This window comes from Homo sapiens, chromosome 17 (genome assembly GCF_000001405.40).
Source record: "Homo sapiens chromosome 17, GRCh38.p14 Primary Assembly".
Lineage (NCBI taxonomy): Eukaryota > Metazoa > Chordata > Mammalia > Primates > Hominidae > Homo > Homo sapiens.
This window is the reverse complement of record NC_000017.11, coordinates 30,643,128-30,671,056: the sequence shown is the minus strand read 5'-3', so window position 1 is coordinate 30,671,056 and position 27,929 is coordinate 30,643,128. Positions and strand designations below refer to the sequence as shown.

The 27,929-nt window shown below is 51.4% G+C and overlaps 1 long non-coding RNA gene across 3 annotated transcripts in view, besides 41 other annotated features; it reads right to left on the bottom strand.

The window, feature by feature from the left end:
* Positions 1–5,229: part of a non allelic homologous recombination region, noted in NCBI's record as "NF1-REPa PRS2 recombines with NF1-REPc PRS2", that runs on past the window's edge. NCBI's record gives the evidence for it as "EXISTENCE:nucleotide sequencing assay evidence [ECO:0000219][PMID:15236313]".
* The window catches only part of LOC105371723 (uncharacterized), a 58,422-nt gene extending 34,409 nt beyond the window's left edge, over positions 1–24,013 (bottom strand). Inside the window, exons 1-3 of one of the 3 annotated variants that reach the window (XR_001753096.2) lie at positions 23,695–24,013; positions 22,601–22,690; positions 7,332–7,496 (exon numbers count right to left, since the gene is read on the bottom strand). This is a non-coding gene — a long non-coding RNA (uncharacterized LOC105371723). Of the gene's footprint in view, positions 1–6,768; positions 7,497–16,065; positions 16,186–22,600; positions 22,691–23,694 lie in introns of those variants that run through there. The other 2 variants (XR_001753095.2, XR_007065703.1) reach the window with 2 other exon arrangements.
* Positions 738–763: a non allelic homologous recombination region, noted in NCBI's record as "sub-region SER13, recombines with sub-region SER13' within the NF1-REPc PRS2 recombination region". NCBI's record gives the evidence for it as "EXISTENCE:nucleotide sequencing assay evidence [ECO:0000219][PMID:26614388]".
* Positions 763–1,152: a non allelic homologous recombination region, noted in NCBI's record as "sub-region SER12, recombines with sub-region SER12' within the NF1-REPc PRS2 recombination regio". NCBI's record gives the evidence for it as "EXISTENCE:nucleotide sequencing assay evidence [ECO:0000219][PMID:26614388]".
* Positions 1,168–1,320: a non allelic homologous recombination region, noted in NCBI's record as "sub-region SER11, recombines with sub-region SER11' within the NF1-REPc PRS2 recombination region". NCBI's record gives the evidence for it as "EXISTENCE:nucleotide sequencing assay evidence [ECO:0000219][PMID:26614388]".
* Positions 1,392–1,489: a non allelic homologous recombination region, noted in NCBI's record as "sub-region SER10, recombines with sub-region SER10' within the NF1-REPc PRS2 recombination region". NCBI's record gives the evidence for it as "EXISTENCE:nucleotide sequencing assay evidence [ECO:0000219][PMID:26614388]".
* Positions 1,574–2,000: a non allelic homologous recombination region, noted in NCBI's record as "sub-region SER9, recombines with sub-region SER9' within the NF1-REPc PRS2 recombination region". NCBI's record gives the evidence for it as "EXISTENCE:nucleotide sequencing assay evidence [ECO:0000219][PMID:26614388]".
* Positions 1,999–2,113: a non allelic homologous recombination region, noted in NCBI's record as "sub-region SER8, recombines with sub-region SER8' within the NF1-REPc PRS2 recombination region". NCBI's record gives the evidence for it as "EXISTENCE:nucleotide sequencing assay evidence [ECO:0000219][PMID:26614388]".
* Positions 2,113–2,850: a non allelic homologous recombination region, noted in NCBI's record as "sub-region SER7, recombines with sub-region SER7' within the NF1-REPc PRS2 recombination region". NCBI's record gives the evidence for it as "EXISTENCE:nucleotide sequencing assay evidence [ECO:0000219][PMID:26614388]".
* Positions 2,202–2,217: a nucleotide motif, noted in NCBI's record as "nucleotide motif; similarity to the predicted 16-mer PRDM9 C-type binding motif, CCNCNNTNNNCNTNNC". NCBI's record gives the evidence for it as "COORDINATES:motif similarity evidence [ECO:0000028][PMID:21750151, PMID:26614388]".
* Positions 2,335–2,350: a nucleotide motif, noted in NCBI's record as "nucleotide motif; similarity to the predicted 16-mer PRDM9 C-type binding motif, CCNCNNTNNNCNTNNC". NCBI's record gives the evidence for it as "COORDINATES:motif similarity evidence [ECO:0000028][PMID:21750151, PMID:26614388]".
* Positions 2,398–2,410: a nucleotide motif, noted in NCBI's record as "nucleotide motif; similarity to the predicted 13-mer PRDM9 A binding motif (LD hotspot motif), CCNCCNTNNCCNC". NCBI's record gives the evidence for it as "COORDINATES:motif similarity evidence [ECO:0000028][PMID:19165926, PMID:26614388]".
* Positions 2,745–3,294: an enhancer, noted in NCBI's record as "NANOG-H3K27ac-H3K4me1 hESC enhancer chr17:28994781-28995330 (GRCh37/hg19 assembly coordinates)". NCBI's record gives its function as "activates a minimal SCP1, AML or CMV promoter by ChIP-STARR-seq in primed H9 embryonic stem cells {active_cell/tissue: H9 hESC(primed)}" and the evidence as "EXISTENCE:reporter gene assay evidence [ECO:0000049][PMID:30033119]".
* Positions 2,758–2,773: a nucleotide motif, noted in NCBI's record as "nucleotide motif; similarity to the predicted 16-mer PRDM9 C-type binding motif, CCNCNNTNNNCNTNNC". NCBI's record gives the evidence for it as "COORDINATES:motif similarity evidence [ECO:0000028][PMID:21750151, PMID:26614388]".
* Positions 2,850–3,090: a non allelic homologous recombination region, noted in NCBI's record as "sub-region SER6, recombines with sub-region SER6' within the NF1-REPc PRS2 recombination region". NCBI's record gives the evidence for it as "EXISTENCE:nucleotide sequencing assay evidence [ECO:0000219][PMID:26614388]".
* Positions 2,877–2,889: a nucleotide motif, noted in NCBI's record as "nucleotide motif; similarity to the predicted 13-mer PRDM9 A binding motif (LD hotspot motif), CCNCCNTNNCCNC". NCBI's record gives the evidence for it as "COORDINATES:motif similarity evidence [ECO:0000028][PMID:19165926, PMID:26614388]".
* Positions 3,090–3,419: a non allelic homologous recombination region, noted in NCBI's record as "sub-region SER5, recombines with sub-region SER5' within the NF1-REPc PRS2 recombination region". NCBI's record gives the evidence for it as "EXISTENCE:nucleotide sequencing assay evidence [ECO:0000219][PMID:26614388]".
* Positions 3,295–3,843: an enhancer, noted in NCBI's record as "H3K27ac-H3K4me1 hESC enhancer chr17:28994232-28994780 (GRCh37/hg19 assembly coordinates)". NCBI's record gives its function as "activates a minimal SCP1, AML or CMV promoter by ChIP-STARR-seq in naive and primed H9 embryonic stem cells {active_cell/tissue: H9 hESC(naive and primed)}" and the evidence as "EXISTENCE:reporter gene assay evidence [ECO:0000049][PMID:30033119]".
* Positions 3,419–4,089: a non allelic homologous recombination region, noted in NCBI's record as "sub-region SER4, recombines with sub-region SER4' within the NF1-REPc PRS2 recombination region". NCBI's record gives the evidence for it as "EXISTENCE:nucleotide sequencing assay evidence [ECO:0000219][PMID:26614388]".
* Positions 3,453–3,465: a nucleotide motif, noted in NCBI's record as "nucleotide motif; similarity to the predicted 13-mer PRDM9 A binding motif (LD hotspot motif), CCNCCNTNNCCNC". NCBI's record gives the evidence for it as "COORDINATES:motif similarity evidence [ECO:0000028][PMID:19165926, PMID:26614388]".
* Positions 3,560–3,575: a nucleotide motif, noted in NCBI's record as "nucleotide motif; similarity to the predicted 16-mer PRDM9 C-type binding motif, CCNCNNTNNNCNTNNC". NCBI's record gives the evidence for it as "COORDINATES:motif similarity evidence [ECO:0000028][PMID:21750151, PMID:26614388]".
* Positions 3,583–3,598: a nucleotide motif, noted in NCBI's record as "nucleotide motif; similarity to the predicted 16-mer PRDM9 C-type binding motif, CCNCNNTNNNCNTNNC". NCBI's record gives the evidence for it as "COORDINATES:motif similarity evidence [ECO:0000028][PMID:21750151, PMID:26614388]".
* Positions 3,844–4,393: an enhancer, noted in NCBI's record as "H3K27ac-H3K4me1 hESC enhancer chr17:28993682-28994231 (GRCh37/hg19 assembly coordinates)". NCBI's record gives its function as "activates a minimal SCP1, AML or CMV promoter by ChIP-STARR-seq in primed H9 embryonic stem cells {active_cell/tissue: H9 hESC(primed)}" and the evidence as "EXISTENCE:reporter gene assay evidence [ECO:0000049][PMID:30033119]".
* Positions 4,232–4,296: a non allelic homologous recombination region, noted in NCBI's record as "sub-region SER3, recombines with sub-region SER3' within the NF1-REPc PRS2 recombination region". NCBI's record gives the evidence for it as "EXISTENCE:nucleotide sequencing assay evidence [ECO:0000219][PMID:26614388]".
* Positions 4,462–4,693: a non allelic homologous recombination region, noted in NCBI's record as "sub-region SER2, recombines with sub-region SER2' within the NF1-REPc PRS2 recombination region". NCBI's record gives the evidence for it as "EXISTENCE:nucleotide sequencing assay evidence [ECO:0000219][PMID:26614388]".
* Positions 4,703–4,833: a non allelic homologous recombination region, noted in NCBI's record as "sub-region SER1, recombines with sub-region SER1' within the NF1-REPc PRS2 recombination region". NCBI's record gives the evidence for it as "EXISTENCE:nucleotide sequencing assay evidence [ECO:0000219][PMID:26614388]".
* Positions 19,284–19,580: a non allelic homologous recombination region, noted in NCBI's record as "sub-region SER11, recombines with sub-region SER11' within the NF1-REPc PRS1 recombination regi". NCBI's record gives the evidence for it as "EXISTENCE:nucleotide sequencing assay evidence [ECO:0000219][PMID:26614388]".
* Positions 19,284–24,485: a biological region, named in NCBI's record as "NF1-REPa PRS1 recombination region". NCBI's record gives its function as "recombination_partner: LOC106113037".
* Positions 19,787–20,185: a non allelic homologous recombination region, noted in NCBI's record as "sub-region SER10, recombines with sub-region SER10' within the NF1-REPc PRS1 recombination region". NCBI's record gives the evidence for it as "EXISTENCE:nucleotide sequencing assay evidence [ECO:0000219][PMID:26614388]".
* Positions 20,233–20,245: a nucleotide motif, noted in NCBI's record as "nucleotide motif; similarity to the predicted 13-mer PRDM9 A binding motif (LD hotspot motif), CCNCCNTNNCCNC". NCBI's record gives the evidence for it as "COORDINATES:motif similarity evidence [ECO:0000028][PMID:19165926, PMID:26614388]".
* Positions 21,560–21,608: a non allelic homologous recombination region, noted in NCBI's record as "sub-region SER9, recombines with sub-region SER9' within the NF1-REPc PRS1 recombination region". NCBI's record gives the evidence for it as "EXISTENCE:nucleotide sequencing assay evidence [ECO:0000219][PMID:26614388]".
* Positions 21,986–22,118: a non allelic homologous recombination region, noted in NCBI's record as "sub-region SER8, recombines with sub-region SER8' within the NF1-REPc PRS1 recombination region". NCBI's record gives the evidence for it as "EXISTENCE:nucleotide sequencing assay evidence [ECO:0000219][PMID:26614388]".
* Positions 22,297–22,555: a non allelic homologous recombination region, noted in NCBI's record as "sub-region SER7, recombines with sub-region SER7' within the NF1-REPc PRS1 recombination region". NCBI's record gives the evidence for it as "EXISTENCE:nucleotide sequencing assay evidence [ECO:0000219][PMID:26614388]".
* Positions 22,568–22,625: a non allelic homologous recombination region, noted in NCBI's record as "sub-region SER6, recombines with sub-region SER6' within the NF1-REPc PRS1 recombination region". NCBI's record gives the evidence for it as "EXISTENCE:nucleotide sequencing assay evidence [ECO:0000219][PMID:26614388]".
* Positions 22,586–22,601: a nucleotide motif, noted in NCBI's record as "nucleotide motif; similarity to the predicted 16-mer PRDM9 C-type binding motif, CCNCNNTNNNCNTNNC". NCBI's record gives the evidence for it as "COORDINATES:motif similarity evidence [ECO:0000028][PMID:21750151, PMID:26614388]".
* Positions 22,656–22,996: a non allelic homologous recombination region, noted in NCBI's record as "sub-region SER5, recombines with sub-region SER5' within the NF1-REPc PRS1 recombination region". NCBI's record gives the evidence for it as "EXISTENCE:nucleotide sequencing assay evidence [ECO:0000219][PMID:26614388]".
* Positions 22,996–23,323: a non allelic homologous recombination region, noted in NCBI's record as "sub-region SER4, recombines with sub-region SER4' within the NF1-REPc PRS1 recombination region". NCBI's record gives the evidence for it as "EXISTENCE:nucleotide sequencing assay evidence [ECO:0000219][PMID:26614388]".
* Positions 23,681–23,941: a non allelic homologous recombination region, noted in NCBI's record as "sub-region SER3, recombines with sub-region SER3' within the NF1-REPc PRS1 recombination region". NCBI's record gives the evidence for it as "EXISTENCE:nucleotide sequencing assay evidence [ECO:0000219][PMID:26614388]".
* Positions 23,941–24,090: a non allelic homologous recombination region, noted in NCBI's record as "sub-region SER2, recombines with sub-region SER2' within the NF1-REPc PRS1 recombination region". NCBI's record gives the evidence for it as "EXISTENCE:nucleotide sequencing assay evidence [ECO:0000219][PMID:26614388]".
* Positions 24,066–24,081: a nucleotide motif, noted in NCBI's record as "nucleotide motif; similarity to the predicted 16-mer PRDM9 C-type binding motif, CCNCNNTNNNCNTNNC". NCBI's record gives the evidence for it as "COORDINATES:motif similarity evidence [ECO:0000028][PMID:21750151, PMID:26614388]".
* Positions 24,335–24,485: a non allelic homologous recombination region, noted in NCBI's record as "sub-region SER1, recombines with sub-region SER1' within the NF1-REPc PRS1 recombination region". NCBI's record gives the evidence for it as "EXISTENCE:nucleotide sequencing assay evidence [ECO:0000219][PMID:26614388]".
* Positions 24,912–25,206: a silencer, noted in NCBI's record as "tiled region #474; K562 Repressive non-DNase unmatched - State 23:Low". NCBI's record gives its function as "represses a minimal TATA promoter and a strong SV40 promoter by Sharpr-MPRA in K562 cells {active_cell/tissue: K562}" and the evidence as "EXISTENCE:reporter gene assay evidence [ECO:0000049][PMID:27701403]".

Genomic DNA, 27,929 nt, shown 5'->3' with positions numbered 1-27,929 from the left:
TTGGCCTAAAGGGACCCTCCTACCTTGAGCTCCTGAGTGGCTGCGATTACAGACTCCAGACACTGCACCCGGCTCCAGGTGGGTTTTATTACCATCCTCATTTTATAAATGAGGAAAGGGGCTCGGAGAAGTTAAGGAACATGCCCAATGTCACACAGCTAATAACTGTGAAGCCGGGATTTGAACCCAGGTTCTTGGATTCGAGAGCCTAAGATCCTGAGTTCAGGTAAGTAATACAATGTCAGCTGGCTGTAAGACAGATGATGGTAAATAACAGGGACCACTGGGCTTGGCAAGGTGGCTCACACCTGTAATCCCAGCACTTTGGGAGGCAGAGGTAGGCGGATCACCTGAGGTCAGGAGTTTGAGACTAGCCTGGCCAACATGATGAAACCCTGTCTGTACTAAAAATACAAAAATTAGCCAGGTGTGGTGGCATGTGCCTGTGGTCCCAGCTACTTGGGAGGCTGAGGTGGGAGAAATCGCTTGAACCCAAGAGGCGGAGGTTGCAGTGAGATCACACCACTGTGCTCTAGCCTGGGTGACAGAGCGAGACTCCATCTTAAAAAAAAAAAGAAGGCCGGGGGCGGTGGCTCACGCCTGTAATCCCAGCACTTTGGGAGGCCGAGGTGGGCAGATCACGAGGTCAGGAGATTGAGACCATCCTGGCTAACACAGTGAAACCCTGTCTCTACTAAAAATACAAAAAATTAGCCGGGCATGGTGGCGGGCGCCTGTAGTCCCAGCTACTCAGGAGGCCGAAGCAGGAGAATGCCGTGAACCCGGGAGGCGGAGCTTGCAGTGAGCCGAGATCAGGCCACTGCACTCCAGCCTCGGCGACAGAGCTAGACTCCGTCTCAAAAAAAAAAAAAAAAAAAAAAAAAAAAAAAGGCCGGCGCGGTGGCTCATGCCTGTAGTCCCAGCGCTTTGGGAGACCGAGGCAGGTGGATCACCTGAGGTCAGGAGTTCTAGACCAGCCTGGCCAACATGGTGAAACCCCGTCTCTACTAAAAATACAAAAATTAGCTGGGCGTGGTGGCATGCGCCGGTAATCCCAGCTACTCAGGAAGCTGCTTGAACCCAGGAGGTGGAGGTTGCAGTGAGCCGAGATTGCACCACTGCACTCCAGCCTGGGCTACAGAGCAAGACTCCGCCTCAAAAGAAAAAATACAAATACAAATAAAATAAAGAGAACAGCCAGTGGGAAGTCCCAGAAATGGGCACACACTGGGTGTGTCTGGGGTGCAGTGAGGGGCCCCTATGGCTGAGGCGAAAGTCTAGGGATTATTGCACCCACTTTGCACGTGTGACCTTCCACATTTCTTCACACAGCGACTCCTTCACAACAGTCTCATGACATAGGTTTTTATAATTCTCCTCTCTTGACGGGTGGGGAAACTGAGGCTCAGGGTGGCTAATTGAGCCACAGCCAGAAAGCAATGGAGCTCCAATCTGAATCCAGGCAGCCTGCCCCCACTGCCGAACTCCGAAGGAAACACAGTAGGGAGCCAATGCCAGCAGGCTGGGAGGGCTGCCTGGAGGAGGTGGATGTCACCAGAACCTGTGGGAGGACTCTGAGGAGCAGGGAGGGAGGGAGCTGCTGCTGACCAAGGCACAAAAACATGTTCCTGGGGCAGTTCTTGGAAGGCAGATTTCCAGGCGCCTGCCCCCAATGTGGCCCTGCCTCCCGCTCCCCCAGGCCCCCTCTTCCTAGAGGGAAGGCGGCAAGAGGCGCTTCATTAGCGCCTCTGAGGCCCCAGCAGCCCCGAGGGGATGAAAAGGGCCTAGGAGGGGAGCCGTCCTCATTTTGGCACACCTGGCAGGGGGCCCAGGACCACTGAAAGGGATTCAGCTGGGGCCGGCTGGGCAGGCCCGGTCATTGTTCCGGCTAGATCCGCGGTCAGGGCTTCAAATGCAAAACCGGGCTGGGGATGGGGTGGGGGCGCCGGTGGCCTCTGCTCTTCCTTTAATAGACCAAAGGACTCTGGCGGCTTAGCTCTTTTCCTAATTTAAAGATATTTTCAGGCGTTTGGGAGCTCCCCTAGGCGAAGCAGGAAGGCTGGGAAGTGGGGGGCCTTGAAACTCTCTTCGTGGTTGCCAGCGGAGGATGGAAGAAAAGGCGGGGAGGAGGGGGGCTGAGGTTGGTCTGGGGTCACGGGTGGGGCGCTGCCCCCCCGTGTTGAGTTCTCGGCTGTCCTCTGCCCCAGTTTCCCTCTCTGGAAACTCTGTCTGGTTTCTGGAACCGTCCCCAGCAGGTAGGACGGATGCAGGTGTGCCCAAACGGCAGTTTCTTCCTAAGGAGCTCTTTCGGGTCAACTCTGGAGGCCTTGACTTGGGAGGCAGATGGAGGAGGCTTGATCCCTCTCAGCATGGCAGCCGTGGTGCCAAGGCAGGAAGGAGGGTAGGGAGGCAAGCCAATGGGGTGCAGCGGCCTCCATGCCAGAAAATGGGGGCTCCCTGGATCATCTCCTCGGCGGGAGGGTGTACGGGGACCAAGAGAGAGAACCAAGGGGCCCCGCTGGAGGGGGGCTTGGAGCCTAGGGACAGTTGAGGGGGTACTGTCTTCCCCTCTCTCCTGGTCACGCTGCCCAGTCGGCCTTTTTCTCCCCTTTCCCTCCCCTTTTGCCCCCACCCCCGCCTGCCCCCCTCCAGGCCCCAGCGCCCCCCACTCCCAACCCCCCGGCCTGCTCTCCTGCCTCCCCCGTGCCACCTCCTTGGGCTTCGTTCCTCTTCCCTCCTCCGAGTTCCCAGCCATCCCCTCTCTCCTCCTCCCCAGCCCGCCCTCCTCCCTCTGACTGGCTCCCGCCTCCCCAACGCTCTCTCAGCCTCCCAGCCCCCTCCTCCCTCCCTCTCTCCCTTTCCTTCCTTTATCCCGGCCTCTCTTCCCACCTTCCCCAGCCGGAGAGAGGGGGCCGCGCTCCCCCCAGCCCCTCCCCCTCCCTCCCTGGGGCCGCCGCCATCTTGCAGGATGCTGGGGAGGGAGCCGCGTGCAGGCAATGGGAACAATGCATCTTTTATGAAGCGATCCCCTCTCCTTGCCTGGAAACCTTGCATTAATGCGGCATTGATTTCCCTCGTAATAGAGGGGGGCTCTCCCGCGCCCCCAACCCGAGGGGCGCAAGAAGGGAGGGGGCCAGGTTCGGGGGCGAGGAGGGAAAAGTGGAGGGTGATGGAGTCATCGCTCCGGGCTCCCAGCTCTGCAGCCGGCGCCCTCCCCGCGCCCAGCCTGGAGACCCCCACCCCACCCCGCAGGCGGAGGTTCCCAGAGTGGGGGAGGGGTTCCGGCGCGAGGCCCTCTAGTAACTTCTGGGCTGAGACCCAGCCACAGAGTCCCGGCCGATGGGACCCCCACACCCCTATTCTCAGCCCTGGCATTGGCCAGAAAGGGCGCAGGAGACCCTCGGCTGCCCCTGGGGCCGCTGTCTGCGGCCAGGTCCTCTGGGACACGTGTCCCCCCCTCCCCCCAGAACCCTCAGAGGTTCCCCATCTCCTCCAAGCCCTGTTTCCTTCCCCTCTTCTCTTCCATCTTGCCGCCTCACTCCCATCCTTACAGCTCCTGCCTCCCTCGTCCTCTCCTGGCTCCCCCTTTCCCCTTCCCTGCTGCCTGCCCCCTCCCTCCACACCCCCTTCCCTGCGTGCTAATGGCCCGGTGGCAGGCGGCTCCGTGGCTGTTTCTGGGGGAGGCGGGTTTGCAGCCAGGAGAGATGTTGGAGCGGTTTGGGGAGGGGGAGGAAGAAAAATTATACATACGTAAATCTGGGATAATGACGGTGCTAATGGGGCGGGCGGCGGCAGTCCCCCCAACAAACACACACCCCATCACACACACTCAGGGACCAACCTGGCTTCCTGACGCGTTTGAGGGTCCGTGGGCCCCGATCATCTCCTTGACTGGCCCTGAACCATCCCTGCTGCAGATATGGGGTCCATGCTCATTTGTGACATCAATGAAACATCCCCCTCCAGCCCCACAATTCAATTTGCGGCTTGCCACTTTGCTTGCCCTGTGGCCTAGGGGTGAGTAGTGACCCCAGCAGGACAGGTGTGTTCACTTGGGTCTTTTACCCCACCACCAGCCTGGACCCCCAACTCTTCTAGGTTTTCTGAGGTCACACCACCCACCACATGACATCTTTTGCATAACTGAAGGAAGGTCAGACGGATTTTCTTACCCTTTCTCCATTTCATAGCTGTGTGACCTTAGGCAAGTTAACCTCTCTGAGATTCAGTTCTCTCTACTTGTAAGTTGGGAATAATTATGTTCAAAGAACCTGAGGCTGAGGTGGGAGGATCACATGAGGCAAGGAGTTGGAGACCAGCCTGGGCAACATAGCCAAACCCGTCTCAAATTAAAAAAAAAAAACTTTTTGAAAAAATAAGTCAAGTTAAGGGCCAGGCACAGTGGCTCACACCTGTAATCCCAGCACTTTGGGAGGCTGAGGCGGGCAGATCATTTGAGGTAAGGAGTTCAAGACCAGCCTGGCCAACATGGTGAAACCCTGTCTCTACTAAAAAAAAAAAAGTACAAAAATTAGCCGGTATGGTGGTGCATGCCTGTCATCCCAGCTGCTTGGGAGGCTGACGCACGAGAATCCCTTGAACTGGGAGGCGGAGGTTGCAGTGAGCGGAGGTCGCACCACTGCACTCCAGCCTGGGCAACAGAGCAAGACCCTGTCTCTAAAAAAAAAAAAAGAGAGAGAACGTGAATTCACGTTTGTGCTTCCCAACTCCTTCATCACTTGCCTGGATTTACTGAGGTTGCCTTGGCCACAGCCTCCTGGCTTCTGCCCTGGCCTCCATCATCCGTTTGTTTCGGCCTCAAGTGATCTGTTTGTCTCGGCCTCCCAAAGTGCTGGGATTACAGGTGTGAGCCACCGCGCCTGGCCAAAATTTATAAACCTTGATTCTTATTCTCGGTGTGTCCCACAATACCTGGCACCTACTAGATTTTCAAATATGTGTTGAATGAGTGAATTAAATAAATAATGTTGTGACTATGTAAGGATATAACTGATGTAAAGTTCTTGGCAGGTCGCCAGCATTCAATAAACCAAGATGCTGGGCACAGTGGCTCATGTCTGTAACCCCAGCATGTTGGGAGGCCAAGGCAGGAGGATAGTTTGAACCAGGGGTTCAAGAGCAGCCTGGACAACAAAGCGAGACCCTGTCTCTACAAAAATTACAAAAAAATTAGCTGGGTGTGATAGTGTATACCTGTGGTCCCAGCTATTCGGGAGCCTGGGAGGTTGAGGCTACAGTGAGCCAGGTTCCTGCGATCCAGCCTGAGTTACTGAGTGAGACCCTGTCCACATCCCCACAAGAGGTAAACTTATGTTCATCAAAAGACATGTACAAGGATGTTCATAGCTGCTTTATCTACAATAACCATTCACTGCAAACAACTCAAATATCTATCAGCAGTAAGATAAATACATTGTGATACATCTCCACAATGGAATATTATACAACAAAGAAAAAGAACAGGAAAACAGACATGACAATAGATTCTCACAGATACAATGTTGCATAAAAGCAAGATGCCAAACCATGTATTTCCACTTACACAAAGTTCAGGGGTAGGCAAAACTAATCTATGATGAAAATGTCAAATTGGAGGATATTGACTGAGAAAGAGCATTTGGGAATTTCCTGGAGGGACAAATATGTTCTTCTGGTCTGCATGGTGGATACATGGGTATACATGTGTAGAAATTCACCACGCTGAAATTTATGATTTGTGCACTTTACCATATTCATTAAAAAAAAAAAAAAAGAGGAAGCCAGTCATGATGGCTTGTGCCTGTAATCCAAGCTACTCAGGAGGCTGAGATGGGAGGATCGCTTGAGGCCAGGAGCTCGAGACCAGCCTGGGTAATGTAGTGAGACCCTGTCTTCATTAAAAAAAAAAAAAAAAATTAGGCTGGGTGCAGTGGCTCACGCCTGTAATCCCAGCACTTTGGGAGGCCAAGGTGAGCAGATCACTTGAGGTCATAAGTTCGAGACTTGCCTTGCCAACATGGTGAAGCCCCGTCTCTACTAAAAATATAAAAATTAGCCAGGTTAGGCCAGGGACGGTGGCTTACGCCTGTAATCCCAGCACTTTGGAGGCCGAGGTGGGCGGATTATAAGGTCAGGAGTTTGAGACCAGCCAATATGGTGAAACCCCGTCTCTACTAAAAATACAAAAATTAGTCAGGTGTGGTGGGCGCCTGCCTGTAGTCCCAGCTACTCAGGAAGCTGAGGCAGAAGAATTGCTTGAACCTGGGAAGCAGAGGTTCCAGTGAGCTGAGATCGCGCCATTGCACTCCAGCCTGGGAGACAGAGGAAGACTCCGTCTCAAAAAGAAAAAAAAATTAGCCAGGCATTGTGGAGGGTACCTGTAATCGCACCTCCTCAGGAGGCTGAGGCAGGAGAATCACTTGAACCTGGGAGGTGGAGGTTGCAGTGAGCTGAGGTCACACCACTCCACTACAGCCTGGGTGACAGAGCGAGACTCCATCTCAAAATAATAATCATAATAATAATGAAAAGAAATGATGCTGGATGCAGTGGCTCATGCCTATAATCCCAACACTTTGGGAGGCCAAAGCAGGAGGATCACTTGAAGCCAGGAGTTTGAGACCAGCCTGGGCAATGTAGCAGGACCCTATCTCTACAAAAACATATATATTTTAAAAATTAGCCAGGTGTGGTGGTGCATGTCTGTAGTCCCAGCTACTCACATGGCTGAGGCAGGAGGATCACCTCAGTCCAGTAATTTGAGGCTGCAGTAAGGTGTGATCATGCCACTGGACTCCAGCCTGGGCAATAGAGCAAGACCCTATCTCAAAATAAAACAGAGCAAAGAGAATGTCCCCTAGAGCCATGTGTGATCCATACGCTTTGTGAATCGTGACACCTCCTCTCCTTCGAGGTTGTACAACTGTCTTCCAAAGTTGGAAAAAAAATGTTTAAAGCTGCCCAGATTCAGGAGGGAGGTCCCAGGGGTACCAGTGCCCTCCCCCATTTCCCAAGGATGACAAGGGTTTCCAGCCTCCCTTGGCCTTGGGGTGTGCGCAGCTCGGTGTGAGGGCCAGTGGTTGATCTTGAAGTTTCTTTCCTACTCCCTCATCCCTTTCCTGCCCAAGCTGTGGTCCCAGCTGACTCCCCTATCAGAGGCTGCGAGTGAGTTCGGTTGTTATGGCAACGGGGCTGCAGAGATCCCCGGGAACCTGCTGGTCCGCCTCATTGCCTCACCGTATGGGGAGCTGCTTTTCCCCTTAAAAATGAAACGGGAGTGGGATGGGGGAGGAAACCCCTTCTTCTGCTCTGGAATGAAATGCCTCCCTCACCTGCTTTGTCGCAAACCCCCGGTTTGGAGAGGAGGGTCTGGATGGGACCCAGACTGTGGATAAGGATGGAGGGAGGAGAACTCCTGCTCCCTGGGTTTTAGCAGCCTTCCCAGGTCTCACAGAACACGAGGAACACGGTCTTTCTCCAGCTCCAACTTTTCTCATCTGTTCATTCATTTTTTCCACAGGAGGCATGAGGAGGTGAGAGATGGAAAGAATGCTGTCTGTCATTTGGAGTCAGAAGGAAAAGAAGGTTGAGGGTCTGCCAGCTCTGCTCTAGTGGTTTTTTCCTGTTTCACCTTTTACAAAATCGAGATAATCGTTTCTACTTGGTAGCGATATTGTGAGGTGTAAAATGGATTAATACATGCAAAATGCTTAAAGCAACTTCTGGCATACGGTGATCTCTCAACCAATCCATTGTTATTTTATTATTATTATTTTTGTAAGACAGAGTTTTGCTTTTGTTACCCAGGCTGGAGTGCAATGGTGTGATCTCGGCTCACTGCAACCTCTGTTTCCCGGATTCAAGCGATTTTCCTCCTCCTGAGTAGCTGAGATTACAGGTGCCCACCACCACACCCAGCTAATTTTTTGTTTTGTTTTGTTTTTTGTTTTTTTTGAGATGGAGTCTCGCTCTGTTGCCCAGGCTGGAGTGCAGTGGCACGATCTCGGCTCACTGCAAGCTCTGCCTCCCGGGTTCACACCATTCTCCTGCCTCAGCCTCCCCAGTAGCTGGGACTACAGGTGCCTGCCACCACGCCTGGCTAATTTTTTGTATTTTTAGTAGAGATGGGGTTTCACCGTGTTAGCCAGGATGGTCTCCATCTCCTGACCTCGTGATCCACCCACCTTGGCCTCCCGAAGTGCTGGGATTACAGGCGTGAGCCACCGCGCCTGGCCAATTTTTTGTATTTTTAGTAGAGATGGGGTTTCACCATGTCAGCCAGGCTGGTCTCAAACTCCTGACCTCAGGTGATCCACCCGCCTCAGCCTCCCAAAGTGCTGGAATTACAGGTGTGAACCACCGTGCCCAGCAGGGAGACCCTGTTTCTACAAGAAAAAATGTACTGTGATCCCAGCACATTGGAAGGCCAAGGTGGGAGGATCACTTGAGCCTAGGAGTTCAAGTCCAGCCTGGGCAACATACATAGGGAGAACCCATCTCTTAAAAAAAGAAAAAAAGGAGAAATAATTACATGTAACCCTACCAGCAGTTTTGTGGGATTGCTATGATCATACCCATTTCACAGATTAGGTAACTGAGGTTTTAGTGCCCTGGAGATGAAGGCATTCTCTAGTCTCCCAGAAGCCCTGAACTCTTGAACAACCCCAAATGCTAAACTCAGCAGTAAAATGGCTGGTGGCTCCTACCTGAGGGTTCACAGAGGGGCTGCCTGTGTTTGCCTCCCAGCCCTTTCTTCCTGCATCCCAGCCCTTTCTTCCTGTGTATTAAGAGGGTTGCAGCTACTTCAGGGCCAGTGTCTCCACGAGTCATCATGACGGCTTCCTGATCATGTCTCTCTCTCTCTCTCTTTTTTTTTTTAAGACGAAGTCTCGCTCTGTCGCCCAGGCTGGAGTGCAGTGGCACGATCTCGGCTCACTGCAAGCTCCGCCTCCTGGGTTCACGCCATTCTCCTGCCTCAGCCTCCCTAGTAGCTGGGACTAGAGGCATGCACCACCACGCTCGGCTAATTTTTTTGTATTTTTAGTATAGACGGGGTTTTACTATGTTAGCCAGGATGGTCTCGATCTCCTGATCTCGTGATCAGCCCGCCTCAGCCTCCCAAAATGCTGGGATTACAGACGTGAGCCACCGCACCCGGCCGCCTCTCTCTTTTACTAACCACAGGGATTCAGAAAATTCTTCCTCCCTCGGGGCAAAAAAAAAAAAAAATCATATATTATAGATGAACTGATGTAGTTTGGATCTGTTTCCCTGCCAAATCTCATGTTGAACTGTAATTCCCAATATTGGAGGTGGGGCTTGGTGGGAGGGGATTGGATCATGGGGGCGGATCCCTCATGAATGGCTTAGCGTCATCTCTTTGGTGCTGTCCACACAATTGTGAGTGAGTTCTTTGGAGAATTAGTTGTTTTGTTTGTTTGTTTTTTGAGATGGATTCTCACTCTGTCACCCAGGCTGGAGTGCAATGGTGCAATCTCAGCTCACTGCAACCTCCACCTCCTGGATTCAAGCGATTCTTCTGCCTCAGCCTCCTGAGTAGCCAGGATTATAGGCCTGCGCCACTGCGGCCAGCTAATTTTTTTGTATTTTTAGTAAAGATGGGGTTTCTCTGTGTTGGCCAGGGTGGTCTCGAACTCCTGACCTCAAATGATCCACCTGCCTTGGCCTCCCAAAGTGTTGGGATTACAGGCATGAGCCACTGCGCCTGGCCTGGAGAGCTGGTTGTTTAAGTGTGTGGCACCTCCCCTCCACCCCATTCTCTCTCCTGCTCCTGCTTTTGCCATGTGAAGTTCCTGCTTCACCTTCTGCCATGAGTTAAAGCTCCCTGAGATCTTCCCAGAAGCCAAGCAGGTGCCAGCACTGTGCTTGTACAGCCCGCAGAACTGTGAGTCAATTAAGCCTCTTTTCTTTATAAATTACCCATTCTAGCCAGGTGTGATGGCTCACGTCTGTAATCCCAGCACTTTGGGAGGCCGAGGCAGGCGGATCACTTGAGGTTAGGAGTTTGAGACCAGCCTGGCCAACATGGTGAAACCCCATCTTTACTAAAAATACAAAAATTAGCCCAGTGTGGTGGCACACACTTGTAATCACAGCTACTTGGGAGGCTGAGGCAGGAGAATCGCTTGAACCTGGGAGGAGGAGGTTGCAGTGAGCCAAGATCGTGCCACTGCACTCTAGCCTAGGTAACAGAGTGAGACTCCATCTCCAATAAAGTGAAATAAAGTAAAATAAATAAAATAAAATGTACCCATTCTTTGATATTTCTTTACAGCAAATTTACCCATATAGGCAACGGCCTAATACATGAACCCTCTCAACCCCCATCCCAGTTCCCTCCTTACAGAAGCTACTGCTGTCTGTTTGGAGTGTATCCTTACAGACCTTTTTCTAAATGTTTACATACACCTATACCAGCTATATAAACACACTATTGATTTTGTGGGATATCTTAGTTTGGGTCCTCCCAAAGGCAGAGACCCTGAGACAAAGATTTGCAGGGGTAAGTTGTTGACCTGGGAGCAGATCCCAGGAAATAGCAACAGGGAAGCTGGGAAGTGAGAAAGGAATGACAGGTTGTGATTTGCAAAGATTGTCAGCCCTGGTATTGATCATATTGCATAGGCTCTTCTTACAAAGTGCTGGTACTCCTCTCATGAGAGGCGGGGTGTATTAGTTCCTTCTCACACTGTTATGAAGAAATGCCCAAAACTGGGTAATTTATAAAGAAAAGAGGCTTAATTGGCTCATGGTTCTGTGGGCTGTACAGGAAACATAGCTGGGGAGGCCTCAGAAAACTTACAATCATGGTGGAAGGCCAAGGGGAAACATGGCTGGAGAAGGAGCAAGAGAAAGAGGAGGGAGGTACTATACACTTTTAAACAACCAGATCTTGTGAGAACTCACTCACTATCACAAGAGCAGCAAGGGAGGACTCTGACCCCATGATGCAATCACCTCCCACCTGGCCCTTCCTCCAACACCAGGGATTACAATTCAACATAAGATTTGGGTGGGGGGGGATACAAATGCAAACCATATCACAGGACCTGTGTTCCCACCTCCTAAACCTGGGTGGGACTTGTGACTGCCTGGCAAATTCTAAAGTTTTTTGCAGAGGTGGGGTCTTGCTGTGTTGTCCAGGCTGGTCTCCTTGGCCTCCCAAAGTGCTGGGATTGCAGGTGTGAGCCAACATGCCTGGTCCAATTTAGATTTTTTTTTTAAGATGGAGTCTTGCTGTGTTGCCCAGGCTGGAATATAGTGGCACCATCTCGGCTCACTGCAAGCTCTACCTCCTGGGTTCAAGCAATTATCCCTGCCTCAGCCTCTCAAGTAGCTGGGATTACAGGTGCCTGCCACCATGCCCAGCTAATTTTTGTATTTTTAGTAGAGATGGAGTTTCGCCACATTGGCCAGGCTGGTCTCGAACTCCTGATCTCAGGTGATCCACCCACCTCCGTCTCTTAAAGTGCTGGGATTACAGGCGCGAGCCACTGCACCCGGCCCCAATTTAGATTTTAAAGAAATTACTAAGGCTGCTAAACCTTATGTTGCTCTCAGCCCCAAGGACGCTGAGAGTTGGGTTTTCCCAATCCGAGGCTTCCTGGGTATAGCTCAGACCACCCTTAAGTTTTCCACCCATGCTCCCTCATCCATTCTTTCTTCCCTTCTACAAATTTTCCCCTTCTCTGTTGGCCAGGAACATTTATGCAATAATGTCACACCAGTGACTACCAGAGCTGAATGCCGATAGAGTAACAGAATGCTAAGATGGACATTTCAACCAGGCAGACACAACGACTAGCAATGGAAGCCAGACCACAGTGAAGATCTTTTCTTTTCTCTTTTCTTTCCTTTTCTTTTTTTTCTTTCTCTTTCTTTCTCTCTCTCCCTCCCTCCCTCCCTTTTTCTCTCTCTTTCCTTTCTTTCTTTCTTTTTTTTTTTGAGACAGAGTCTCGCTCTGTTGCCCAGGCTGGAGTGCAGTGGCGCAATCTCGGCTCACTGCAAGCTTGGCTCACTGCAACCTCCGCCTCCCAGGTTCACTCCATTCTCCTGCCTCAGCCTCCCCAGTAGCTGGCACTACAGGCGCCTGCCATCGCGCCCGGCTAATTTTTTGCATTTTTAGTAGAGACGGGGTTTCACCGTGTTAGCCAGGATGGTCTCGATCTCCTGACCTCATGATCTGCTCGCCTCGGCCTCCCAAAGTGCTGGGATTACAGGCGTGAGCCACTGCGCCCAGCCCTTCCTTCCTTCCTTCCTTCCTTCCTTCCTTCCTTCCTTCCTCTTTCTTTCTCCTTCCCTCCCTCCCTCCTTCCTTCCTTCCTTTTCTCTCTTTTTTTTTTTTGAGACAGTCTTGCTCTGTCACTAGGTAATCTTGGCTCACTGCAACCTCTGCCTCCCAGGTTCACGCCATTCTCCTGCCTCAGCCTCCTGAGTAGCTGGGACTACAGGTGCGCACCACCACACCCGGCTAATTTTTGTGTTGTTAGTAGAGATGAGGTGTCACCATGTTGGCCAGGCTGGTCTCAAACTCCTGACCTTGTGATCTGCCCACCTTGGCCTCCCAAAATGCTGGGATTACAGGCGTGAGCCACCGTGCCCAGCCTCTTTCTTTTTTTTTTGACAGAGTCTTGCTCTGTTGCCCAGGCTGGAGTGCAATGGCACAATCTTGGCTCACTGCAACTTCCCCCTCCTGGATTCAAGCGATTCTCCTGCTTCAGGCCCTCAAGTAGCTGGGATTACAGGTGCGTGCCACCACGCCCGGCTAATTTCATATTTTTAGTAGAGTTGGGATTTCACCATGTTAGTCAGGCTGGTCACAAACTCCTGACCTCAAGTGATCCACCTGCCTTGGCCTCCCAAAGTGCTGGGATTACAGGTGTGAGCTACCATATCTGATCCCTAATTTTTATTTTTAATTGACAAGTAATTGCATATGTTTATGGAATATGATATGATGTTTCAATACTGTATATATTATAAAGCAGTCACGCTAATGAACATATCCATCACCTCACATACTTATTTATTTGTACCAAGAACAGTTTGTTTTTTTAGAGACAGGTTCTGTAAAATATTGCCCAGGCTGGTTTTGAACACCTGGGCTGAAGTGATCCTCCCATCTCAGCCTCCCAAAGTGCTGGGATTACACATGTGAGCTACCGCACCAGACCCTATAGTGAGACCATTTAAAATCCACTCATTTCACAAGTTTGAAAATACATTATGGGGCGGGGTGCAGTCACTCACGCCTGTAATCCCAGCACTTTGGGAGGCTGAGGCAGGTGGATCATGAGGTCACGAGTTCAAGACCAGCCTGGCCAAGATGGTGAAACCCCGTCTCTACTAAAAATATAAAAATTAGCCAGGCGTGGTGGCGGGCGCCTGTAGTCCCAGCTCCTCAGGAGGCTGAGGCAGAGAATTGCTTGAACCTGGGAGGTGGAGGTTGCCTTGAGCTGAGATTGTGCCACTGCACTCCAGCCTGGGCAACAGAAAGAGACTCTGTCTCAAAAAAAAAAAAAAGAAAAAGAAAAAAATATACATTATGATTAGCTATAGCCACCTTGCTGTGCAACAGATCACCAGCACTTACTCTTCCTACTGGAAACTTTGTATCCTTTGGGCCACATGTTTTCTGCGACCCCAGACTCTAGTAAGCACTGTTCTACTCTCTACTTCTGTGAATGTGACTTTTTTTTTTTTTTAGATTCTGCATGCAAGTGAGATCATGAACTATTTGTCTTTCTGCGCCAGACTTAGTTCACTTCGCATAATGTCCTCCAGATTCATGCACGTTGTTGCAAATGACAAGATTTCCTTCTTTTATCAGGCTGAACAGTACTCCATTGTGTATATGCACCACATTTTCTTTATCCATTCATTCATTGATGGACACTTAGGTTGCTTCCATATCTTGTTATTGTGAATAGTGCTGCAAAGAACTTGGGAGTGCAGATAGCTCTTCCGAATACTGATTTCCTTTGCACATTACTCGGAAGATAAATTTTTTTCAGATGAAGTCTCACTCTGTCACCCAGGCTGGAGTGCAATGGCGCGAGCTCGGCTCACTGCAAGCTGTGTCTCCCGGGTTCGTGCCATTCTCCTGCCTCAGCCTCTGGAGTAGCTGGGACTACAGGCGCTCACCACCATGCCCGGCAAATTTTTTTTTTTTTTTGTATTTTTAGTAGAGACGGGGTTTTACCATGTTAGCCAGGATGGTCTCAATCTCCTGACCTCGTGATCCACCTGCCTTGGCCTCCCAAAGTGCTGGGATTACAAGTGAGAGCCACCACACCCAACCTAATTTTTGTATTTTTAGTAGAGACGGGGTTTCACTATGTTGGTCAGGCTGGTCTCGAACTCCTGACCTCGTGATCCACCCACCTTGGCCTCCCAAAGTGCTGGGATTACAGTCATGAGCCACTGCACCCAGCCTTTTTTTTTTTTTTTTTTAGACAGGGCCTCACTCTGTTGCCCAGGCTGGAGTGCAGTGGCACAATCTCAGCTCACTGCAACCTCTACATCCTGGGTTCAAGTGATTCTCCCACCTCAGCCTCCGAGTAGCTGGGACTACAGGTGGACACCACCACGCTTGGCTAATTTTTGTGTTTTTTTTTTTTTTTTTTTTTTTTTTTTTTAGTAGAGATGAGGTTTCACTGGTGAGGCTGGTCTTGAACTCCTGACCTCAAGTGATCCACCTGACTTGGCCTGAGACAGGAGAATCGCTGGAACTTGGGAGGCAGAAGTTGCAGTGAGCCGAGATTGCCCCACTACATCATTCCAGCCTGGGTGACAGAGTGAGACCTTGTCTCAAAAAAAAAAAAAAAAAAAAAAGAAAGTGAAAGATTTCATTCTGAACACCACTAGGCCCTGAGAGGCAAGGTTGGCTGACAGCAGACCCAGTGTAATGAGAACCATCTGACCCCCGGATTTGTTTCCTTCCTGTGGCCGCTATAACAGTACCACAAACTGAGTCACTTAAAACAACAGAAACCTATTTTCTCACAGTTCTACAGGCCAGAAGTCTGAAATCAAAGCATCTGCAGGGCCACGCTCCCCACAGAGGATCTAGGGAAGAATCCCTCCTGGCCCCTTCCAGCTTGTGAGGGCTCCAGGCGTTCCTCGGTGGCAACCACAGCCTTCCAACCTCTGCTTCCGTCTTCACGGGTCCTTCTCTACTGTGTCTCCTCTATGTGTCTCTCCTAAGGAGAGTTGTCTGTGGATTTAGGACTACCATGTTTTCCAGGATGATCTCATCTTGAGAATTCTAATATCTGCAATGACCCTTTCAAAATCCCTCCTACAGAGTTGACAAGGATTGCATGCTAGATTCCAGACAGAAATACAGTTACAATGAACCATGAATCAGGCTGCACTAGGGCCCCCTTCCTTGCTGCTAAAAGTCAGGTAGCACTTTTACACCCCATTGTTTCACCGGGCGCAGTGGCTCACGCCTGTAATCCCAGCACTTTGGGAGGCCAAGGCGGGTGGATCACCTGAGGTTGGGAGTTCGAGACCAGCCTGACCAACATGGAGAAACCCCATCTCTACCAAAGATACAAAAATTAGCCAGGCATGGTGGTGCATGCCTGTAAGCCCAGCTACTGGGGAGGCTGAGGCAGGAGAATCGCTTGATCCCAGGAGGCAGAGGTTGCAGTGAGCCGAGATCGTGCCATTGCACTCCAGCCTGGGCATCAAGAGTGAAATTCTGTCTCAAAACAAAACAAAACACAAATACATCCCATTGTTTCTACAGACAGGATCTCTGACATTAGGAGCATATGGCTTTTTTTTTTTTTTTTTTTTTTTTTTTTTTTGAGATGGAGTCTTGCTCTGTCACCCAGGCTGGAGTGCATTGATGTGATCTCAGCTCACTGTAACCGCTGCCTCCCGGGTTCCAGCGATTCTCCTGCCTCAGCCTCCAGAGTAGCCGGGATTACAGGCGTGCACCACCACGCCTGGCTAATTTTTGCATTTTTAGTAAAGAAGGGGTTTTACCATGTTGGCCAGGCTGATCTTGAACTCCTGACCTCAAGTGATCCACCCGCCTCGGCCTCCAAGTGCTGGTGTTACAGGCGTGAGCCACTGCGCCCAGTCAGGATCATATGGCTTTTGCTTAAGGATCACTTCAGATGTTTTTGCAGATCTTGAATTCCAGCAACCAGTCTGAAGAAGACCCCGCATATAGGAATGGGATCAGCATGAGAATACAGCTTCTTCACCCACCCCTTGTCCCTCAACTCCCGCCCAATCCTCTCTCCCAAGACTTCACCTTGCACTCTTTGACCAATCAAAGGATCTCCACACTTGGGCCCACTCCATACCCCTTAAAAACCCCAGCCCCAAATTCCTCGGGGAGATGAATTTTTTTATTTTATTTCATTTTTATTTATAAATTTTTGTTTGTTTGTTTTCTGAGACAGTCTCACTCTGTCACCCAGGCTGGAGTGCAGAGGTGCGATCTTGGCTCACTACAACCTTCATCTCCCAGGTTCAACTGATTCTCCCACTTCAGCCTCCCAAGTAGCTGGGACTACAGGCATGCACCACCACGCCCGGCTAATTTTTGTATTTTTAGTAGAGACAGGGTTTTGCCATGTTGGCCAGGGTGGTCTCAAACTCCTGGCCTCAAGTGATCTGCCCACCTCAGCCTCCTAAAGTGCTGGGATTACAGGTGTGAGCCACCACACCCACCCAGGAGATGGATTTTAGATTTGCTCCCATCTCCTCGATCTGTGGCCCTATGATTAAACCTCCTTCTCTGCTGCAAACTGGTATCTCAGCATGTTGACTTGCCCAGTGCCTCAAACAATGGGCCTATGACAGTTACAGTTTATCCACCTAAGATCACATTCAGGCCAGGCGCAGTGGCTCGCGCCTGTAATCCCAGCACTTTGGGAGTCCGAGGTGGGAGGCTCTCTCGAGGCCAGGACTTTGAGACCAGCCCGGGAAACATAGCAAGAATCTCTCTCTGCAAAAAATACAAAAATTAGCCAGGCATGGTGTTGCATGCCTATGGTCCCAGCTACTTGGAAGGCTGAGGTGGGAAGATCACTTGAGCCTGGGAGGTCGAGGCTGCAGTGAGCCGAAATCATGCCATTGCTCTCTAGCCACCCTGAGTGACAGAGCAAGACTATGTCTTTAAAAAAAAAAATAAGTTGGCCAGGCGTGGTGGCTCATACCTGTAATCCCAGCACTTTGGGAGGCCGAGGCAGGCGGATCATCTGAGATCAGGAGTTTGAGACCAGCCTGGCCAACATGGGGAAAGCCCGTCTCTCCTAAAAACACAAAAATTAGATGGACGTGGTGGCAGGCGCCTGTAATCCCAGCTACTCAGGAGGCTGAGGCAGGAGAATCACTTGAACCTGGGAGGCGGAGGTTGCAGTGAGCCTTGATCGCGCCATTGCACTCCAGTTGGGAGACAAGAGCAAGACTTCATCTCAAAAAAAAAAAAAAAAGTGAATATAATAACATCACATTCACAGGTTGCAGGGGCCAGAATGTGGACACATCCTTTTGGGGGGCCACCATTTGACACACTATATTCCCTCCTGGAGCTGCAGCCCTGGCCGTGAAAGGAAAGGAGAGGAAAGCAAGAAGGAAGGGGCCCCTGCACTACCCAGACCCCCAGAACATGATGCTGGTGGGGATGGAGGAGAGGCAGAAGGAAATAGGATTGAAGTCTAAATCAAGGCCCCAGCTTGGGTCTGGACATTCCTTGTTTTGAATTGAAGCCACGCTGCCCTGTGACTAAGGCAACTCCAGGAACATCTGTTATCTGAGATGAACAGAGAACAAAGTCATAAAGCTAAGATTTTATCAAGGGGATTGTGGGGCAGGGGGGACATGTTTCCCTGTGAAAAGCACATTATAGAGATCATGAGAGATCAGCCCTTGACTGAATTCACACAATGATGGTTCATCACAGGGACCACCTGACCCCCAGGATTGTTCTAGAAGGTCTTTTTCTCTACCATCTCCACACCAATCCCTCTCCACCCGCCGCTCCCACCTTCCACTGGGTCCCCATCCTCCTCTGGGCTGGGGCCCTGCCTGCCTGCCATCCATTCACTCAACAAACACTTATTATTATTTTTTGAAACACAGTCTGGCTTTGATGCCCATGCTGGAGTGCAGTGGCGTGATCACTGCTCACTGCAGCCTCTGCCTCCCAGGTTTAAGCAATTCTCATTTCTCAGCCTCTCGAGTAGTTGGGATTACAGGCATGCATCACCACACCTGGATAATTTTTGTATTTTTAGTAAAGACGGGGTTTTGCCATGTTGGCCAGGCTGGTCTTGAACTCCTGGGCTCAAATCTGTCCGCGCGGCCTCTCAAAGTGCTGGTAGTTACAGGCGTGAGCCACTGCGCCCAGCCTTAACACTTATTGAGCACCTGCTGTATGCCAAGGGCCAGGGAAGGGGGCGGCATACAGAGCCAGAAGGGAACAGTGTGGAGGAACTTCCCTTTTGGAGCTGACTTTCCAGTGGGAGACCTGGGCGATGACAAGATGAACAAGGAGTGAATATTCTGTGGTGTAGCCAAAAGTAGCCAGTGCAATGGAGAAAATACAGCAGCCTCAGGCCTGTAATCCCAGCACTTTGGTAGGCCGAGGCGGGCGGATCACTTGAGGCTAGGAGTTCAAAACTAGCCTGGTCAGCATGGCAAAACCCCGTCTCTACTAAAAATACAAAAATTAGCCAGGTGTCATGGAGCATGCCTGTAATTCCAGCTACTGAGTAGACTGAGGCAGGAGAATTACTTGAACTCGGAGGTGGAGGTTGCAGTGAGCTGAAAGCACACCACTGCACTCCAGCCTGAGCAACACAGCGAGACCCTGTCTCAAAAAAAAAAAAAAAAGCAGCAATAAGAGTCTGTGGATGTTGTAAATTGGGTGTGTGTGCATCAGAGAAGGCTTCCCTGGGGAGGGGCACACGTGAAGGGAGACCTGGAGGAGGTGAGGGAGGAGCCATGTGGATATCTGGGGGAGGATGACTCAGGCAGAGGGAACAGCCTGTGCAAAGGCCCTGAGGCAGGATGTCTTTGGTGAGTTTGGAGAACAGTAAGGAGGCCCATCTGCTTGGAGAAAGCTGGGTTTTCTGGCCTCCGTGAGGACTGGAGTTTTGCTCTGAGTGAGGCAGTTGGTAAGGAGAATAATGCCCTCCTTCCCAACATATCTACTTCCTCATCCTAAACTTTCAAGATCTCGTGGCCTGGGGAGGATAGGAGAAAGGGGCTGGTAACTGCTCCAGTGGGTTGATAAACATGGGTACTTCAGGGAGGCTTCCTGGAGGAGTGTCAAGCATATGACTGGCTTGAATTGCGGGAGAGGCAGGCTGAGCAGGGAGCAGGTGCCCAGGGAGAGGCAGAGGACAGGTGAGACACTTAAAAGTGTCTAAAGGAGAAAGAGTCCTTTGGACACAGCCAGGCCCTGAGAAGCAAGGTTAGTGAATTGCTACCTCATGCAACAAAAGGGACTTTGCTGATTAGGTAATTAAGGACCTTCAGACAGGGAAATGACCTTGGATCATCTAATCACACAAGTCCTTAAAGTGCAAGGCGGCGGCAGAGGGGAGTTGAAGGCTGTCATATGAGAAGGACTTGACTCGTCATTGCTGGCTTTGAAAATGGAGGGAGGGCCCACGAGCCAAGGAATGCACGCAACTTCTAGAAACGGGGAACAGACAACCAGCAAGAAAACAGGGGCCTCAGTTCTACAACCCCGAGGAACTGAATCTTGCACCCCTAAATGAGCAAGAAATAGATCATCCCCTAAAACCTCCAAGAAAGGACTGCAGCCTGCTGACATCTTGGTCTTAGGCAGGTGAGACCCGAACCACATCTCTGACCTCTAGAGCTGTAGGATAATTTGCGTCGTTAAAAAAACGCTAGCTTGTGACGGCAACCATGGGAAATTAACACAAGTTGGGAGCCTTCTGGGTTCTGAGCGGGAGGAGGGGGCGTGGCCTGATCAGGTGTTCGCTCGCGCCCTCTGGAGGCTGCGGAGGGAACAGGCTTCAGGGCCAGGCTGGAGACCTGAGCAAGGGTAGAGGGAACTGCACAGTCCAGGTGAGGGATGCTGGGCTGGACCAGGTGAGGGCCGGGGAGGTGGGGAAGAAATGAAGTCCGAGGTTCGAACGTGGATGGAAAGAGAAAAAAAGAGAGGACTCCAGCGGGGCGCGGTGGCTCACGCCTGTAATCCCAGCACTTTGGGAGGCCAAGGTGGGAGAATCACTTGAGGTCAGGAGTTCGAGACCAGCCTGGCCAACACAGTGAAACCCCGTCTGTACCAAAAATACAAAAAATAGCCAGGCGTGGTGCTGCACACCTGTAGTCCCAGCTACTCGGGAGGCTGAGACTGCAGACTTGCTCGAACCCGGGAGGCGGAGGTTGCAGTGAGCCAAGACTATGCCATTGCACTCTAGCCTGGGAGACAGAGTAAGACTCCATCTAAAAAAAAAAAAAAAGAGAGAGAGGACTCCAGTCAAGGATGACCAGAAGCCTCTGAGCTGGGAACTTGGAGTCTCCCGTTCCCTCCACCCCAACTCCACTAGTCCCTACCTCCCCTTGGCCTCACCTGCCAGCAGTTGTCCCAGGCGGAGGCCACATGCTTCCCTCTCCTCTGAGGCCTTGCCCCTGCCTGTGACCTCTCACTTGTCACATCTGCTGTCTCTGTTCTCAAGACAGGAAGTCAGATGGGAGTTGAAGACGGCTGGGACCTATGAGTCCCCAGGCCCCCAGAGGGATTCCGGATTTGAGAGTCGGCCTCCTCCCTCCCATCCAAGCCCAGCCCAGCCCTGCCAAATCAGCTCCCAGCGCACTCCCTGGTCTGCACTTCTTTCTCTGTCTCTTTCTCTCTCTGGAATTTTCATTCTCTTTTTGGTAACCGAATTATCCCATCTCCGCCTCTCACTGGGGGCCACCCACAGAGGCGTGGGAGAGGAGGGGCCCAGGTCGCAGCGCGAGATATTAAACCATCAATCACCCACCAACGCCGACTCCCCCGCACCAGGACCCTCCGTTGGCTCCACCTGGAAGCAGACCAGCTCCAGTGCAGGCCTGGAGGCCTGGGGACCCCATCAAAATGGGAGGCCTTGGAAGAATCTCACAGGCCCTGCATCCACCTGGGCAGGTGCCTGGGTGCAGATCGGCCTGGCTCAATGCACAGAAAGGTGTCCTGGGTTCAAATCTACAAGCTACTTCTTATCCACACATGGGAGCCACTGCATTGTTCTGTGTCTTGGTTTCTCCACCTGTAAAATGGTGATAACAGCCGGGCACGGTGGCTCACGCCTGTAATCCCAGCACTTTGGGAGGCTGAGGCGGGCAGATCACCTGAGGTCAGGACTTCGAGACCAGCCTGGCCAACATGGCAAAACCCCATCTCTACTAAAAATATAAAAATTAGCCAGGTGTGGTGGCGTGCCCCTGTAATGCCAGCTACTTGGAAGGCTGAAGCAGGAGAATCACTTGAACCCAGGAGTCAGAGGTTGCAGTGAACCAAGATTGTACTAGCGCACTCCAGCCTGGGGGACAGAGCAAGACTCTGTATTAAAAAAAAAAAATGGTGGTAACATTTTCTACATCATTGGGGTTCACTGTCAGGATTAAACCAGTTAAGGCAGATGGCAATATCTGGCTGATAGTAACTCCTGTCTAGGATTTGCTGCTAGAATGATTTTCCTTCAAGATTTGGGGGGGTCATTCACTTGTGAAGGAAATCCAAGATTCTTGGCTTTTGGGGGGACTTAATGGGGTTCATACTTGTGTCACCTCACAGCTGCTGCCTTGTATAGGTTGGAATTGGATTTTTTTTTTCTTTTTTTTTGAGATGGAGTCTCGCTCTGTCGCCCAGGCTAGAGTGCAGTGCACGATCTCGGCTCACTGCAACCTCCGCCTCCCAGGTTCAAGGAATTCTCCTGCCTCAGCCTCCCGAGTAGCTGGGACTACAGGCACATGCCACCACGCCCAGCTAATTTTTTTTTATTTTTAGTAGAGACGGGGTTTCACCATCTTGGCCAGGCTGGTCTCGAACTCCTGACCTTGTGATCCAGCTGCCTCGGCCTCCCAAAGTGCTAGGATTACAGGCATGAGCCACCGCACCTGGCCGGAATTGGATTTTTTTGTTTTTTGTTTTTGAGACAAAGTCTTGCTCTGTCACCCAGGCTGAAGTGCCGTGTGGTATGATCATGGCTCACTGCAGCCTCAACCTTCTGGACTTAAGTGATCCTCCCACCTCAGCCTCTTGAGTAGTTAGGATTACAGGCATGAGCCGCCCCACCCAGGTCTAGGGGAAAAAAAATTAAAGGCTCTTTCAGAACCTTAACTAGGGCCAAGCAACCCATATTTCAAGGTGCTCAATTCACAAAACAAGGTCTCAGTGCTTTGCACAGGCTGTTCCCCCTGCCTAAAATGCTGTTCCCTCAGCCAGCCACATGACTCCTCCTTGCCTGCTTCTGGGTTTGCTGCAATGTCACCTCCTCAGTGAGGTCACTTTGTAAAAATTGCACCCAGGGCCCCTGCCCGCCCCCACCCTTCCCAGCTGTATTTCCCTCCATAGCATGCACCCCATTTTGCATACCGTATGCAGTGCTTGTGGGGTTTGTCTGTTCATCCCACTGGAGTGTTAACCCCAGGGCAAGGTTCATTCATTCACTGCCCAGCACGGCACCTGGCATGAAATAAACACCCAGTAAATACTTGTTGAGTGAAAGCATGAACAAATTCCATTCAGCTGCTCCCAGAGGACCCCACAGGCTGCAGCCAGCTCAAAGCTGCTGTAGCTGGGCCTGTCAGCAATCTTGGGTTTCCTGGAGCGGGGTGGAGGGGGTATCACTGGATGTGTTCAGAGATGCAGCTGGTTCACTGTCAACTTTGTGTGGACTTTTCTCTTTTTTTTTGAGGCTGGATCTCACTCTGTCACACAGGCTGGTGTGCAGTGGCGTGATCACAGCTCACTGCAGCCTCCACTCCAGCGATCCTCCCACCTCAGCCCCCTGAGTAGCTGGGACCACAGTTGTGCGCCACCATGCCTGGGTAATTTTTGTATTTTTCATAGAGACAGGGATTCACCATGTTGCCCAAGCTGGTCTTGAACTCCTGAGCTCAAGCAATCTGCCTGCCTAGGCCTCTCAAAGCAGTGGGATTACAGGCGTGAGCCACAACGCCCGGCCAGGATGTTTATTTTCTCATTATTTATTTATTGTAGAGATGGTGGTCTCCCTATGCTGCTTAGGCTGGTCTTCAGGTCCTGGGCGATCCTTCCGTCTTGGCCTCCCAAAGTGCTGGGATTACAGGCATGAGTCATGGCGCCCGGCCTTGTGTAGATCTTTAAAAGGTACCCCTTCCTTGCTGGGTGCCGTGGCTCATGCCTGTAATCCCACACTTTGGGAGGCTGAGGTGGGCAGCTCACCTGAGGTCAGGAGTTCGAGACCAGCCTGGCCAACATGGTGAAACCTCGTCTCTATTAAAAATACAAAAATTAGCTGGGCGTGGTGGTGGGCGCCTGTAATCTCAGCTACTCGGGAGGCTGAGGCAGGAGAATTGCTGGAACCTGGGAGGCAGAGGTTTCAGTGAGCTGAGATCGTGCCATTGCACTCCAGCCCAGGCAATAACAGTGAGACTCCATCTCAAAAAATAAAATAAATAAAATAAAATAAAATAAATAAAAGGTACCTCTTCCTCTGGGCAGATGCAATGTGTGGTGAGGGGAACAGATGATGTTAGCTTCTGCTCTAGCCTCTGTCTGGCATGCTTGTGCAGTGCGCAACTTGCACAACTGTTCTTGGCAGTACTGCTACTGTCCCCCATCTCTTGAGTAGCTCAGAAGGTGGGGGGCGCTGTGAAGACCAAGTAACCAGAGGCTGGACCTCTACACCCAGGTGTTTAGAGGGCCAAACCCCAACCTCTGTGCCCAGCTCACTGCTGGTGAAAAATCTGCCAAGGAACTGGACTGTTCTGGTGACACCCCAAAGACTCCCCTCCTGGTATCCCCAGCAGTGTCTCCCTTGCTCCTCCGGACTAGTGGTGCCCTCGCCTTCCCCAGCCCCCTCTGCACGTTTCCACCCAGCTAGGAGTCCCACACTTGCCTGCTTCTCCCAACCTTCTCTCTCTCTCTCTCTCCAGCACAGTGGCTATTTTTATTTTTCCTTCTTATTAAATTTCCAACTTCTGCAAACACCATGGCCTCTGCCTCGCCGCGCCCCCCAAATTCCCTTAGGGCGGATTTGATTCACTTGCGTTTTATTAACAGATTAAAAAAAAAACCCGCTGCTGCCACCACAATGTGACTTTCTCCGCTTTCCTGGAGGTTTAGGGAACCGAGGAGAACTGGGCTACAGGATCCCCTCCGGGTTTAAATTTGCCCTCCTCCCCACTCCCAGGGACCTTCCCATCACAGCCTGAGCGGCGAGGTCGGGAAGGGGCTGGGGAGTGAGGTTGGATCTCGTTCTGGGTTTAGGGGGGAATGGGATGGGTGTCAGGCCTGATGCGGTTCCCCCAGCCAGGGACTCGTCCCAAGGCGGAACTGGAAATTAAGAAAAAAAAAAAAAAAAAAAAAAAAAAAAAAAAAAGCAATCCGTTGGGAAGCCCCGCCCCCGCCTCGCCCCCCACCCCAGACCCTGGGTGCTAAACGCTTCGGGTGGGAGGGGCAGCCTCGGGGGTGGGGGCTTAGAGTTGGCGCCTCCCACACAGAGCTGGGGTCGCCCCTACCCTCTCTCTCTTAGGATGGCTGGCAGGGGGCCTTGGGAAGGTTTGCCACCTACCCAAGCCCGGCTCGCTCAGTTTTCTTTCCTTCTTAGGACATTCTGATTCCGGTGCTGACTCCCAGACCTGAGAGCAAATTGCTTCTTCATGCCCCGGGGTGTTTTCCTCCCCTCAAGTCTTTTTTTTTGTCAGTCGCCATGGCAACCAAGAACCCAGCTGCACTATACTTCCCTGGGATACAGGATGGGGGTAGGGGGTGATGGGGAAACTAACTGGGTCGTTTAGGCCAGGACCTTCCTACCCTCCTCTTTGCCCCCTCTCTTAGTCCTTCACCCCTTCCCCACACCACGTGGTCCAGCCTTGATTGACAAGAGGGCAGGTTGTGCCTGTCAGGGTTACCCATCTTGGTGGTTGGGCCACAGCTTCCTTCTGGGTCACTCTGTTCTGGGAAGGTCCTTCATTTGGCCCGAGGGCTAAGGCTCCAGCTGTCAGTGAAATCCCTTTCCCCTTCCTTTCCTCCACTCTTTAGTCCCTCAATCAGGGTGGGCTGGTACGGTTGGGCAGGTTGGACACTGCACAAGGGGACACTGAGTGTGTTCAAACTAAGCTCCCGATTTCCATTGCTCCCTTACTCCATAGCACACTACAGACTAAACTCTCCTCTGCCTTACTGACACCAACTCTCTGTTTGCTATCAGGAGAGCCAATGATTTCAATAAAATACTTCAGTCCTGGTCACACCCCAATGCAGAGCTGAAGAAAGGAAGTCCAGTCGGGAATTTGGGGCCTTGAACAACCCAAGCCACAGCTCCTGTGGGAGCTTAGAGAGAGAGCAAACCTGGGCAGAAAGAACTTCTACAGAGGGCCGGGCGCGGTGGCTCATGCCTGTAATCCAGCACTTTGGGAGACCGAGACGGGCGGATCACGAGGACAGGAGATCGAGACCATCCTGGCTAACGCAGTGAAACCCCGTCTCTACTAAAAATACAAAAAATTAGCCGGGCTTGGTGGCGGGCGCCTGTAGTCCCAGGTGTTCGGGAGACTGAGGCAGGAGAATGGCGTGAACCCGGGAGGAGGAGCTTGCAGTGAGCCGAGATCGCGCCACTGCACTCCAGCCTGGGTGACAAAGCGAGACTCCGTCTCAAAAAAAAAGAACTTCTACAGGGGCCAAAGCTAGGGTCGAGGACCATAGAATGCCTTGGGGTACCCAGGGAGGGGCAGGGAATGATTATCAAAAGCCCCAAAGGAATCATGGGGCTGGTCAAGTTGGCTTCACGGACCCAATTCTACCGCCCACCATCTATACTCTTTGCCTAGGTAGCTCCTCCCACTGGGAGGTGGAGCCTACTTCCACACCCCTTGAATCTGGGTTGGTCTCGTGATCTCCTTTGGCCAATCAATGGATTGCAGCAGAAGTGAAGTCACTTCCCAATCTAGGCCTGAAGAGGTGGTGCATCTTTCTGGTCGACGTCTGGAAACCCTGCCCCTGTCAGGTGACCAAGCCCGAGCTAGCCTGCTGGAGGATGAGGGAAGAATCCTGTTGTCCTAGACCAGCCTATAGCCAGCCGGGCCCAAATATACGAAAAGACCCAGCCTGAATAAATACAGTGTGACTCTTGGACCCATAGACGCTGGTGGGTGAGCCCAGCCAGGAGCAGAAAAACTGCCCTGTAGCCTGCGAAGCCAAAATTAATGCTGATTGTCCTAAGCTGCTGGATTTGGGCGTTGTTAGGCAGCTTTTTTTTTTTTTTTTTTTTTTTTTTTGTCTCAGTCTCACTTTGTGGCCCAGGCTGGAATGCAGTGGTGCAATCTTGGCTCACTGCAACCTCTGCCTCCCTCCCGGGTTCAAGCGATTCTCCTGCCTCGGCCTCCCGAGTAGGTGGGATTACAGACACCCGCCACCACGACTGACTAATTTTTGTATTTTTAGTAGAGACGAGGTTTTGCCATGTTGGCCAGGTTGGTCTCAAACTTGTGGCCTCAAGTGATCCACCTGCCTGGCCTCTCAAAGTGCTGGGATTACAGGCATGAGCCACTGTGCCTGGCCTTTGTTAGACAGCTTAACTGGCAACAGGTAACTGACAAGGAGCCTGGCAGGCACAGGTGTGCATTGGTCAGCACGTCCCCTTGCCCACGAAGGAGCTAGACTCAAATCCCGGGGTCCCTGAAATTGATTGTCAACTCTTTAACTTCCTGAGGAATCCTTCCCCATTTTTCCTTTATTTGTTTCTTTTTTGTTTGTGTTTTGGCATGGCCTTCCAATGAAATTCCCCATTTTTCCTTTTTCTTTCTTTCTTTCTTTTTTCTTTCTTTTTTTTTTTTTTTGAGACGGAGTCTCGCTTTGTTGCCCAGGCTGGATTGCAGTGGCGCGATCTCGGCTCACTGCAGCCTCTGCCTCCCAGGCTCAAGCGTTTCTCCTGCCTCAGCCTCCCGAGTAGCTGGGATTACATGTACCACCATGACCCACTAATTTTTGTATTTTTAATAGAGACGGTGTTCCACCGTGTTGGCCGGGCTGGTCTCTAACTCCTGACCTCGGGTGATCCGCCCGCCTTGGCCTCCCAAAGTGCTGGGATTACAAGCGTGAGCCACCGTGCCCAGCGCCCCATGTTTTCTTTCCTTGGTATATCTCTCATTGCACCTCCTCTCCTCTCTCTCTCACTTCCGTCCAGCCACATCAGCCTCCTAGCTGATCTCTACTTCTCCATGCTAGTTCCCACCCCAGAGTCTTGGCACCCGCTGTTCCTCCTGTCTGGAACCTTCTTCCCCCAGATCTCTATGTGTATCCTCCGCTTTTCCTCCTTCAGGTCTCTGTTCATGTGCCTGATCCTTTGAGGTGCCCTCCTTAACTCAGGGAGATACGTCTCCTTCCAGGCCCTCACCAACCTACTACTACTGCTCCCAATGGGAGCCACATCATGTCCAGCCTAGGACGCTAAATTTGACCCAGGGCTCAGATGGGAGCAGAACAGGCCTCCCCTAAAACATTCCTTTTTTTCCTTTTCTTTTTTTTCTTTTCTTTTTTTTCTTTTTTTTTTTTTTTTTTTGAGACAGAGTCTTGTTCTGTCACCCAGGCTGGAGTGCAGTGGCGCGATCTTGACTCACTGCAACCCCTGCCTCCCAGGTTCCAGCAATTCTCCTGCCTCAGCCTCTCGAGTAGTTGGAATTACAGGCACCTGCCACCACAGCGGGCTAATTTTTGTATT